Consider the following 12,399-nt stretch of genomic DNA (forward strand, 5'->3'; position numbering starts at 1 on the left):
TCACTCCACCCACAATAGCAGACTAGACATTCTTTTCAAGATGGACTATATTCTGGGTCATAAAACCAGTCTCAAGAAGTATAAAAGAATTCAAGTTAAACACAGTTTATTTTCTGACCACAATAAAATGAAGCTAGAAATAAATAACAGAATCATACCTGGAAAATATCCAAATATCCTAAATAACACACTTCTAAATAACCTGAGTCAAAAAAAATCAAAAAGGAAATTAGAAAGTCTTTTAAACAGATTAAAAATAAAAACATGTCAAAATATGTGGGATGCAGCTGAAGCAGGAGTAGAGGGAAATTTATAGCATTAAGTGCTTATAATAGAGAGAAAATGTTTTCAACCAGTGACCTCAGCTTCCATATTAAGAAACTAGACAAATAAGAGAAAATTAAACCCAAAGCAAACAAAGGAAAGGAAATAAAGACAGATGGCATATCATGAACGACAGTGGAATCAAATAAAACAATATCCCAAAATGCCACTAAATGTAATGGAATCCTGGAGCACTGTCATTTTACCCAATATGCTCTCCCTTCTTATCCACTGTGCCCACTGCCTAGGGAAGGGCTTCAAATAATCAGGCTCACCTTTAACACTATACAACAGAAACCTCGCATCATTTCAAGTAAGGCCAAGAATATAATTCACACATTCACTAGCTATCATTAGAACACCAGAAACACACGTTTACCCAAAAGGCTATGCACATTAGGAACCCTAGATTGCTTACCAAAGGGAAGTGCAAAGACATTTAAAATAAAAATATGCAATTCCTTATGAATGAGAGTTCATAATTAAAGGATCCTTATTAAAGGATCCTCAAGTCTTTGCTGATACTATGTCCAAAGCATAATAAATTATATCCAAGCAGAGAAAAACACAGCTTGCCCTTCCAAGCTTTATGGAGGAAGCTCTGGAAGTCTCAAGAGCAGCACCATCCAGTGTGACAAGAAGACTTCACCCCAGTGTGGGGCAGTGTTCAGGCAGGGCTCCTAAAGCAGCTCATGTATACTGCACCTTTATGAAGTCACTCATTATATACACACTATTTATGCAAGCTCTCCTCTAGACTGTGTCATCCTCAAAGTCAGGGACCACATCTGTCATCTTTGTATCCCCAAACCCTAGTATGGTACGATCATTTCACAAATGTGCTTTAAAAGGCCTGTGTGAACTCCCCAAGAATCTACTGAGTTGTAAATAACACCTGATGCGATTGCCTGAAGACTGAACAGTAAACAAAACAAGACTTCAGATCCACATTGAAACCAAAGAACAGAGGCTTATGTCTCCTTTCTGAGTTCAATTAGATTTTTAAAACATTCTTTTTAAAGTCGATTTGTTTTGTTTCCAGTCTACAGTAAAAGTTTGAGTGGGTCCAGGTTTTATCTGAAGCAGTCTGCCCATTCTTTTCCCATGATGTTCTGGAGGAAAGCAGACTGCTGATGACTCACAACTCAGCACACTTGTTAGTTCCTATGTACTGACACCAAATTGTGTTCCAAAAGAGAAGCCTTTACAAAGGATCAAAACCTGGCCCTAGGATGTGGTTCATGTTCTAAGCTTTCCAACATGGTGCTAAATTAACTGCATTTGGTTCCAGGTGGGTTAATGACTAATAGCTGGACAGGTGATTTCAGGCAGAAATTGTCTCAATTCTCACTTTCTGTCACTTTAGAAGTTTTCCCTGAGTTTGTTTCCAACCCCATCTTCGTCCTCCACCTCCTTCTCTGGCCCCAGCTTTCAGGGCTGCAGCTCTTGGAAAAAGCATTTGCAGGATGGCCCAGCTATGCACGCTGGCCCTTTCTAGTTGCTTCTCCTGAACTGGGACTCAAGGACTTCTCCTCTATTCAAAATAGCAGAGCAATGAAAGTGCAGGAAGCCCAGAGGAAAGAAAGGTGGAGGGAGTCTGGATCAGTGGTGATAACAAGAAATGAATCCACGAGAATGTCCTAATTCACGGTTGCTCTTCAGCTTCTCTTGTTTCCACAACCTAGTCTTGCTAAGTCAGTTCTTCCTTATCACTCGCTATACCCCATGCTCACAGTGACTGCTGACTTTCTCTATTCACCACAGAATGTGACCCTCCCCTCCCAAAGGCTCTCCAGGAGCTTCAGATTTAAACCAAGCTGACGCTGATCACAAACATTTGGAGGGCACATCTCAGTTTCTGGAGAGCTGAAACAAGACTTCATTCAATCCTCCCAATAATTCTTGAGATATTATTATTTCTGTTTTACCACTGACGAGACTGAGACCCCGTGAGATTAGGTGGTTAACCTGAGCCGCACCATAGCAAGTGTACCCTCTGACCCCTGCATTCTTTCTTGCTACCACGTGGCCTCAAAGCCTCTACAAAGAGTTCAGCCTTTCTTCTCCTGATGCCTGATATTTTCTATTTTTGTTTCTGAGCCTTCTCTCCCTTGCTTATTCCATACCTTTGATCCTTAACCTCCCTTCTCCAGCACACACACTGTCACACACACACACACACACACACACACACACATCTCAGTGCACTTATCTAACACCTTCTTCATATAGTCATCTAACTTCCTTCTCAAAGCAGTCTTCCAGGTTACAGCATAGTACTCTAGTGCAGCCTCAGACTGCCCGTGGCAACTCCCAACCATTTTTTAAACACAAAATAAGAAAATCATACTTCCTTAGTTATTTTTAATTATACTGCACCATTTCCTCTGGAATCTGTCATCTGTCCCTGGAAAACAGAGATTCCATATGTCTAAATCATTCTGCCCAGTGCCTAGCAAAGAAGCAAAGATAAGTGCAGGCTATCACCATGCCTGTTCTCTGATCAAACCGATGGTGACAGGAATGTTCACGTGATGGCAATGATCCCATTCACTTTAATCTGTACCTCCTTTTAAAAGCTAGAGTCATCAGTGGCTCAAAGACTTCAAATCAGTGCACCTGAAAGTGCTAAGGAATGTGTAAAGGGCTGGCTCTATAAAGGCGAAGTGGTGGTAACAAAAAAAAAAAGAGAGAAAAATGGCAAACACTCATACAGGGAGTGAAAACTCAAGGAATTAGGACTGTGTAGCAGAAATGTAGAAAGAGGACGGAACTTGGAGTCAGACAGGCCTGGATTAGAATCCTTGTTTGGTCACATTCTAACTGTCTGATCCTGGACAAGTTGCTTAACTTCTCTGAGCCTTCATTCCCTAAGCTTAGAAAGATGTCAAAAAGCTCATCTCAGAGGGCTCTCCTGAACATGAACCTGTAAGGCGTTTGGCCCATGGCGGTGCCCTGTAAATGTCACTTCCCTTCTCTTTCCCCTTCTGAAAGAAGGATCCATAATGATAAGAATTTTCAATAGCACCCAAAGGGTCGGTCCCATCTGTAATCAATGCATTTTAAGAGGCTCACCTGAAAGTTCTCACTTTTAGATGTTTTCTAATCTCTCAGGAATGTGCACATTCCTTGCAGTTCCCAGCTTCAAAGGGAATGTGTATGTTAGGGAATAACTGTGCCCAATCCCTCTCATCCATAAAAATGTACACACTAACAAGACCTCACATCTTTAAAGGGTGAGACTCAGAGTTGGACATCCCTTGTCTGTACTCCCAAAGCTGCACGGCTTCTAGAGCTTTAATCCACAGTATTGTATTATCTGTTTAAGCATCTGCATCTCCCCTAGGCAGCTAGAGCCATGAAGCAAAGTCCATATATTATTCCTCTTTGCATTGCTGCCTAGCATGCAGCATGCCATACATGTTATGTTTATTAGAATGAACTGAATCATCTATCTTCTGGGTCTGCAATGCTTTAGCATATAGTCTACACTTTCTAATTCTCCCAAAGACATTTTCCAGAGCCTTGGAAATTTTAAGCATACAATACATATTGCCTTTGTCCTTTTAGAATGAACTGTTTATAAGCTTTTTTTTTTTTTTTTTTTTTTTTTGTCTTTTGAAAGCCAAAACCTAACTACAAAAGAAGGGGTAAATGATTTCAGAGAAGCACCTGGCACTATGTTTTTTCTTTATTGCTATAACCTTGGGCAACCCCCACCCCACCCAACATTCAATGCTCAGGGACACCTTGCGTAAGGCACATGCAGGGTGCGCTTGGCAGGGGCCTGGAGGGCTCCGTGCTTAGTAACTCTGTTGTGAGGATAACCACAGGCTGTGGGAGGTAGCAGCTCTGCCTGCCTCAGGTAACAAAATTGATGGTGATGACTAAGTTACAGTAGACGGATCTCTCAATCTCTGAGAAGTTCCACCTCTGTTCTGACACATCTCTTTCTTTTTTCCTCCCAGAGGAAATAGAAACAAGCTCAGGCAAGGGCCCTAAGGAGAGAACCCTTTTTCATTGTTTAACTTGTTTATTATCAGACTCTCATTAAGAAACTGTGGGCCACAGTTACTGAAAACACAAGCTAAAGACACATTTAGAACAATATTTAAGTGACAGATTCACAGTCAGTTGTTAAGGGGAAGTCAAGAAGTTGCAGGCAACTTCCTGAACTTTAAGGCAGATTTCATGAAGGACAAATACCATGCTCTCCCCGAAAGGAATGGTCTTTGAAACAGGTATTCTGCTCTACCTTAACAACCCTGCCCCCTTGCACCAATTACTGACATCTAGCAAAGCTTCAATTTTCTCATCTTTTTAATGGAAATAAAATATTCATCCTACAGAGTTGTTTATAAAGATCTGATGAGATTGTGTATACTAACCATTTAGCCAATGGGAGGCAAAGCCCAGGCCCCATAGATGCTTCCAACTATTCCTATGTCTCCCAAGTGCTAAGGCCAAGTGTCAGCCGGCACTAACGCTCAGGCATGGCATTTTTTACCTCTCTGATTCCTGGGGCACTTGAGTGTACCACTCCTGAGCTGGTGCAATCCTATCATCTCATAGATGAGGAAACCAAAGCAAAACATCACATGGCTCACCACTGCCTGTAGGCAAAGTCCCAGTGCCATGAGAGGTAAGCCCATTTGAGTGGTTTTTTAGATAGTCACTGGTGTCTCAGTGCAGCCAGAATACCTGGCTGGATGGATCCTTTTAATCATATCATCTATATACCATATACCAAAGAATTTTATTGATTTTATAACTAGAGTTCTAAAGAATAGAAAGTATTCTCTAGAGAATAAGACTAGCTCATTCTATGTTAATTGCAGTGAAAGTAAAGATAATGATGGTGCTTGGCAGTAGGAATAATTGTAATTAAGCACTTACTATGTGCCAGGCATCAGGCTGAGCAGTAAATATGTCTTATGTCTTCTTTCACATAGTAAGTCCAACTGCTTGAATACTCCCTTACACTCAATCCCCAAGACTTGCAAAAATTTGTCACAAATAAATCACTTCAATCTCTCTGTAGAATCTGTGTGCTCATCTACTGTGCCCAGAGCAAATCCTTTCTAAATTCTGGATGTGCTACGTGTGATGTTAGTGGTTGGTTAAGAGACAGGTATCTCCAGAAATAAAACACGAAAGGCAGAGGTTAATTGCTGATTCTCTCAATCTGGAGCCAAGCCATTTGATAATGACTTACAATTATTATATTTCATATTGCTCAATCATCTCTAGAAGATGGATTGCAGGGTGTGGTGGGAGAGGTGCCTTCCAGTCCTTTCCAATAAAATGTTTCTGTGTTATCACAAAACAAGAAGTTCTGTAAGGTAAGGGAGTTAGGAATGCTGGCTTCCTGTGGATAGATGCCAAGTGGAGAAAATAAACAGATAAGAGTTCCCACGGGATATGGATGCCCTAAAAAAGTGTTTCCTATCATATTGCCAAGGCAATGCCAGCTGCTTACATCATCAATTCAGGGGGACAGGAAGGAGGGAGACAGAGTAGTGGCTGGAGAGTGGATGAAGTAGAAAATTTGTAAAAAGCCAATTCCAATTTTCTTAATAGGTTATAAATTCCTACAACCAAGAGGTAAGTAGCAGCCCTGACTCTTAAACAAAATAAAGTCTAGTCAACTTGACAATTAAATGGAGCCCAGGGTGCTGTTCCCTACAATTTCACAGGTGGCTGGGAGTTATAGAATGCTGGAGCAAGACAGATTCTTAGAGATATTCAGTCCAGAGATCACAAATGGCACCCACAGACATTGTCTTCTTGGGTTTTCCAAGGATTAGTCTAGATGGCATTTTAACATTGTAATTAATTGCCAACATTTTAAAATTTTGAAGACTTCACATAAAAATTCAGATCTCTAGTATCTCTTTTTAAAATGAGAAAATATGCAAACAGTGAACCTACATTTTCACCTAGTAACCATTCAGCCTCTCATAGATGGTTCCAGTGTCCCCATGGTTCCCAAGGCCAAGGCCAAATATCAGCCAGCACTAATCCTGAGTCATGGCATGGTGTTACCTGGCTGAATCCTGCAGGCACTTGAGTGTGTGTCCTCTGAGCTAGGAGAATCCTGTTATCTTATAGACAAGGAAACCTAGGCAAAAAGCTCACATGGCTCACTCTGCAAAGTTCCAATGCCATGACAGCAAGGCCATTCGCAGATGGTCCCAACTGACATCTCTTGCCAGTTTTCAGAAGGAATCCTATGGTCCAGTGCATCAGACTGATTGTTATGCCCAGTCAAGGCCTTGTTCCCTTCCTCTCAAATGTCCTGCCCTGCTATCAAACTCCTGTTCATCCTTTCAGCCCCAGATTAGTCGTTCCCCCTAACTCCTCTCAGGCAGTGAAGTATCCACACAGCATTTATGTACCCACTTCTGCAATATGCCTTACAGTCCTGCGGGGGACGTTCAATATTAAAATCCTCTTTCTCATGTCACCAGTACCTAGCACTATGCCATGACACATCACAAGCTCTGAATAAATCTGGGATTCAGGGAAGGGTAAATACATTGTCCTCAAATATATGGGTAATTAGTCCAGGCGCTATGGCTCATGCCTGTAATCCCAGCACTTTGGGAGGCCGAGGCGGGTGGATCACTTGAGGCCAGAAATTCGAGACCAGCCTGGCCAACATGGTGAAAACCCATCTCTCTCTCTCTCTCTATATATATATATATGTAATTAATTATAACATAGTTGGGGAGAAAACGGGTTAAAAACAGACGGGGAGCCTGGTGCAGTGGCTCACACCTGCAATCTCAGCACTTGGGGAGGCCGAGATGGGCAGATCGCTTGAGCCCAGGAGTTTAAAACCAGCCTGAGCAACATGGGGAGACCCCATCTCTACAAAAATTAGCTGGGTGTGGTGGCATGAGCCTGTAGTCCCAGCTACTCAGGAGGCTAAGGCGGGTGGATGGCTTGAGCCCAGGAGGTCAAGGCTATGGTGAGCCTAGATCATGCCACTGCACTCTAGCCTGGGTGACAGAACCAGACCATGTTACAAAAAAACAAAACAAAACAAAACAAAACAAAACCAACAACAAAAACAGACTGGGTCCACAGTGAACACCCAGACTGATGAACCATCAAGTAAGTGATGCTGAAACCTTTATCTCAATGACAAATTCAACTCCTACCAGGCCAAGCCTTATTCCAGAAGTAGGGATTGCCTGAACAATGTGGCTTATGAGGTGTCAAAAGAACCCCAGAGGTCCTAAACATCTTCCCCACCAGCCTGCCAAGGTGCTTAAAGACCACTCTATATATGTATCTGCATTAAGACCTTTTCTGTTAAAATACAACACTCCTTTTCTCCCTCCTTCCTAAGAGCCAGTACATTACGCAATTCTCAGGGGTTAGCACAGCTTCAGGTAATTTATCAACTATTTTTTATATCTGATGCATTTCACCTAGACTATTTGGGTAAGCTGTGATAGAGTTAAATAAAGGTAAATTTCCAGGAGAAGAGGATGGGCCTGAATGTCTGAGGTAAGAGATAGAGAGTAGGCAGTATAGCACAGTAGTTAAGTGTGAGACCTTATGATCTGGGCCCAAATCCAGTTTCGCTGCTGGCTAGGTGAGTGACCTTGGCTAGTCACTTACCTTCCATGCCTCCATTTCTTCATTTAGATAGAAAATGGTGTTACTCAGGAAAGGGAACATCACACACTGGGGCCTGTTGTGGGGTCAGGGGAGAGGGGAGGGATAGCATTAGGAGATATACCTAATGTTAAATGATGAGTTAATGGGTGCAGCACACTAACATGGCACATGTATACATATGTAACAAACCTGCACGTTGTGCACATGTACCCTAAAACTTAAAGTATAATAAAAATAAATAAATAAAATTTAAAAAAAAAGAAAAAAAAAAGAAAATGGTGTTACCAAGATGACCTGCTTCAATGGGGCATCTGAGAATTAAACAAATCAATATATAGAAGGCATTTAAAATGATGCCCAACCTATGTGAACCCTATATAATGTGTTAATTTCTGACTAATTTATTAGAGGGGATGACATGAGATTTGGCCCTGAAAGGAGCTGCTCTGGCTTTACTACTTGCTGCCTCCTTTCCCAATTTACTGAGAAGCAGGCAAGGTCCCGAGAGGATGAGCAGCGTCCCCAAGGCCACAGCCTACTGATGGCAGAGCCAGGACTTCCTATCCAGGGCTCCCCACACGCGGAACTTCTCGAGGAGGAAGAGGGGAAGGGGTCGTGGGAGGCCAGGAGAAACCGAGAGCCAGCTTTACCATGTGTCCCTTCTGGGGATAATGGAATCCAGGCCCTTCGGGGCTTTTCCCCAGAGCTGGCTACACGTCCCGCTCTCGGGTGCGCTTGGTGTCCACGCAAACGCCATCCTCCGAACATCCCCCCGCCCACACACACACATACACACACAGCCCCACACCCTTGCGCCGGACGCACCCTCTACGTCTGGCACAGCACGGCAACTCGCTGCCCCGCTGGGAGGACTAGTCAACAGGGGGGCGGACGGGAAAAGTGACACAACTGGGCCGCGGCGCCCTCCGCGCCAGCCTCCCACGCAGCGCAGGGCGGACTTCGGCCCTCAGAGGGGTGAGGACTGGGGCCAAACTGCCCGGGTCTACCCCGCCGCCCGCAACGCTCCGGGGTCCCGCGCGGAGGGAGGCCTGGGCGCGGGCCGCCGCGGCGCACTTTTCAGGAACGCGGCGGCCGCAAGCCTGCCAGGCCGGGTCGCAGGACAGCCGCCGCCGCCGCCACCGCCACCGCCACCGCCCCCCGAAGCTAGATGACGGAGTCTTGAAAGACTTTCACCAAATATGGGCCGGGGCTGGAAACGTCCTGCGCCGCGCGCCGCCGGAAACCTCGATTCTTGGCAACCGCGGTGACTGTGGGCGCGCGGGCGGGGTGGCCGGCAGGGGGCGGCGGTAGCAGCCGGGCAGGCGCGTCCGGATGCCTCGCGTCCCGCACCCTCTCGCGGTGCGGACCCTCTCCGCTCCCTCCGCAGGGGTCCCGGAGCCGACCGCCCTCTCCGCGCGTCGGCCACCCAGTTCCTGCCGCAGCCACCAGGATCCTGGCTTCCTGGGGCTCTCCTGGCTGTCAAGCCAAGGGGATGGGGGCGGGGAAATGGTAGAGGAGAGAAATGGGATGGTACGGGGGCGCCACCTTAAAGCCGGTCTTTTGCAGACACCATTAAGTTCTGTTCATTAAGGTGGCTTTGAAGAGTGGAGTTGTGAGGTTGGGTGTGCAGCCGAGGATCTATGAAGACACACACACACACCCCTACTACAGGCACTCCGGTCGTCCAGGGCAGTGGTGCTCAGGGTGTGATCTCCGGACCAGCAGCATCAACATCACCTGGGGACTTGTTAGAAATGTAACTAATCAGAAACTCTGGGGTGGGAACCCAGAGAACCATTCATTAACTAGCCCTCCAGGCGACTCGGATGCACGCTAGTCTGAGAGCCTTCCTAGGGCTAGGAAACTGGAGTCGCCAGATTTACCGTTATTATTCTCGGTTGCCGCCAGACAGTGAGCCCTTCATTAGGTAACCTAAAATTCCCTGGCAGCAGCGGTTGAGAGACGTCCCCATCTCTCAGCCCGAAGCCAGGAGCTGCAGAAGACAAGTAGCCCCTTCTCCGTGGATTGCAATCCAAGGCAGCCCAAGGAAACAAGGCAGTCCGTTATTTCCTCCTGGGGCACCCGTATGGGGAGGGTGAAGGAGAAACTAGCAAAAGAGCCATACAGAATTAGCACCCGAAGCAACACTTACCCATAAACATTTGCACATTTCGCCTCCTGTCCGTCAACTTGGACTGATCTGCGGCTCCCAGCGGAGGCGGCGAGAAGGCGACGGGAGGCTGGGGTTTCTGGACGGTCTTTGGGCAGGACTTGAGGAGCCGCTGTTTCTCTTGCCTAATGTCGTCGATTACTAGCAGGCGCAACAGCACATGGTATATGGAGAGGCTGTGCACATAGGTTACTCTAGTGTCTCCCGCTCCCACACCTCCTGGCCCTGTTGCTCCAGCTTCCCACCCCCATCCCACAACACACCCCCTGCTTTAAATGGGCAGCTGACGGTAAGGTTCTCTAAATTTCTCTTCTGGGGCAAACTCATCCTCAAGATTCCCCAGTTGAAGTCCAGAAACAAACCCACACACCCTTGTTAAAAAAACTTTAATGTGATTTTAAAGGAATCTCTGGAATGGCGTGTGTTTGAACGCAGTGCGGCAGACTGGATCTCTGCCGTCCCCCATCCCCAACCTCCAATTAAGGTATATACGGCCAGTTGGATGATCCACTGTGCTTTTATTTTAAATCATGATGGACAGATTGCGTGAAAAACAAGGAATTCCAAAGAATTTCCTGCTCTGGGAAGAGAAGTTAAATCTATATTTAACAACATTTGAAGCTGTCAAGAATGCTTTGTGGTTGGATAACAGAGGCAGAAAAATGTTAAAAACGCAGGCTACTGCTATACCCAAATATGGAAATATTGTTACGTCTGGTGTCTGATTCACCATCTGGAAATACTTACAACCATGAAGTCAAATAGAAAAGACGCCACAACAGAAGCCAGGAACCCTCCTCTCCATTCTCTCTCTAGTTCAACCAGTACTGTCCCTGCACCCCTCCTCCCCCCTCCCGCCCCCCGTCACTTCATTAAGAAGGAAACAATAATGAAATGATAAGGCAGGAAAAACAGTGTTTTGTAAATAATAATTGATGTATTAACCTGTGTACGTGTTGGGCCCACACTTTCCTCACTGTATTTGCATAACACCTGACAATCCATTGTCTTGAAAAGTCTCCCACCCCTAACCCTCTAACAGAGCTTTAGAGATCCCACTCCCTCTAGCAAATGCTGCTTCCATTTATGAAAGGGCACTTTGGAATGAATGAAACTGAACTCCTTCCTGCAAGAATTCTCTTCACTGGAGTGTGTTTTCATCCTGACAGATTCTCATTGTGCTTATCAGGAAAGTCAGCATTAGCACTAAGGGCCTTTTCAAGCAAGACTGCTAAATTATGAAGTCTGAATAGCCTTAAACATTAAAAAGGATAAGTAGTTATCCTAGAGCATATGAGTCTTACATGATAATTTTTATTAAAATTATGCAAAAAGTTTTTGAAACTTGCAGGGAAAGTTTATCAATCACACTAATGGTATTGGTGATGTTCAAGTAAATTGTCTTGTGGTGGGGTCTTCTACTGAGTGTGTTGCAAGTAGAACGGGATCTTAAAATCTGCTGACATTTTTACTGCAAAATATTACATCCTAAATCTCTTTTCTGTACTTGGAGAGAAGGGCATTGCAATTCATTTAAAATGGGAGGCTTCCAGTGGTCCCTAGGAAAGGAGTTAAAAACCCCACAAAATGTCCAGCTTGAAGGAGTCTGCTTTTCCCAGAGATTCATAGGGCACAATGGTCCTGGAATCTGGTTTGGCCTTGCGGTCTTTGCAGGTGATGATTTCAGGCCACTCCACGGTGGTCTCCTGCACTTCTGGCTGGCTGCTTGGTTAGCATAGCCTCCTGCCCGCGGAGGGAGGCGGGAAGGGCTTACCCCGTCTCCTGCATCCGTGAGGAAGTATAAGTCAGCCTCCCGGAGAACTCCCCGCGTTCGTTTCCTCTCGGACTTCCAACCCAGGCAGTGGGCTGGAACTAAAGTGGGAACCTCCAAAAACAAACAAGTACAACATACCCAAAAGAGGGAAGGGCTGGAGGAGTGGGGGAGACCTCTGCCTGGGAATTTGCCAGACGATGGGCAAGTTTCCCCCCGCCCCACCCCCCCCCCGCCTTTTCATTCATAAATGCCACTGTGGGTATTAATTTGCAATTCACTGAACTTTGCTAATAAACATCATGCCAAAGCTTTGGGACTTGTTCCGAACACGCCTCTTTGAAGTCCACAAATATTCCTGACTCAGAGACACACTCCTCTTCCCCGTTCTACTCTTTCAACAGATAACTTGCCTCTCACCTTCGCTGTAAAAAAGCAAACAGCTCACTGCCTTCCCGGGTGAGGGCTTCAGTGGCTGCCCGGTCAACTCGCATCACCAAAC

At 45.5% G+C, this 12,399-nt stretch overlaps 1 protein-coding gene and 1 long non-coding RNA gene across 4 annotated transcripts in view, besides 3 other annotated features; both read right to left on the bottom strand.

Annotated features, from left to right (window-relative positions):
* Positions 1–10,325, bottom strand: part of DDAH1 (dimethylarginine dimethylaminohydrolase 1) — a 259,716-nt gene extending 249,391 nt beyond the window's left edge. For both annotated transcript variants that reach the window (XM_005270707.3, NM_001134445.2), the window contains exon 1: positions 10,109–10,325. In XM_005270707.3, coding sequence (XP_005270764.1) covers positions 10,109–10,126 — 18 coding nt within the window. In that variant the 5' untranslated portion in view covers positions 10,127–10,325. The remainder of the gene's footprint in view (positions 1–10,108) is intronic.
* LOC124904208 (uncharacterized) lies at positions 93–9,171 on the bottom strand. 2 transcript variants are annotated; one of them, XR_007066201.1, is made up of 2 exons: positions 9,151–9,171; positions 93–8,029 (listed from the first exon to the last, which is right to left on the bottom strand). It is a non-coding gene; the product is annotated as an uncharacterized LOC124904208 (long non-coding RNA). The 2 variants fall into 2 exon arrangements; XR_007066200.1 differs by lacking the exon at positions 9,151–9,171 and adding an exon at positions 8,782–9,144.
* Positions 8,925–9,124: a silencer, noted in NCBI's record as "silent region_1036". NCBI's record gives its function as "represses an Ori minimal core promoter by ATAC-STARR-seq in GM12878 lymphoblastoid cells {active_cell/tissue: GM12878}" and the evidence as "EXISTENCE:reporter gene assay evidence [ECO:0000049][PMID:35858748]".
* Positions 9,235–9,514: a silencer, noted in NCBI's record as "silent region_1037". NCBI's record gives its function as "represses an Ori minimal core promoter by ATAC-STARR-seq in GM12878 lymphoblastoid cells {active_cell/tissue: GM12878}" and the evidence as "EXISTENCE:reporter gene assay evidence [ECO:0000049][PMID:35858748]".
* Positions 9,995–10,054: an enhancer, noted in NCBI's record as "active region_1270". NCBI's record gives its function as "activates an Ori minimal core promoter by ATAC-STARR-seq in GM12878 lymphoblastoid cells {active_cell/tissue: GM12878}" and the evidence as "EXISTENCE:reporter gene assay evidence [ECO:0000049][PMID:35858748]".

This window comes from Homo sapiens, chromosome 1 (genome assembly GCF_000001405.40).
Source record: "Homo sapiens chromosome 1, GRCh38.p14 Primary Assembly".
NCBI classification, from domain to species: Eukaryota; Metazoa; Chordata; class Mammalia; order Primates; family Hominidae; genus Homo; species Homo sapiens.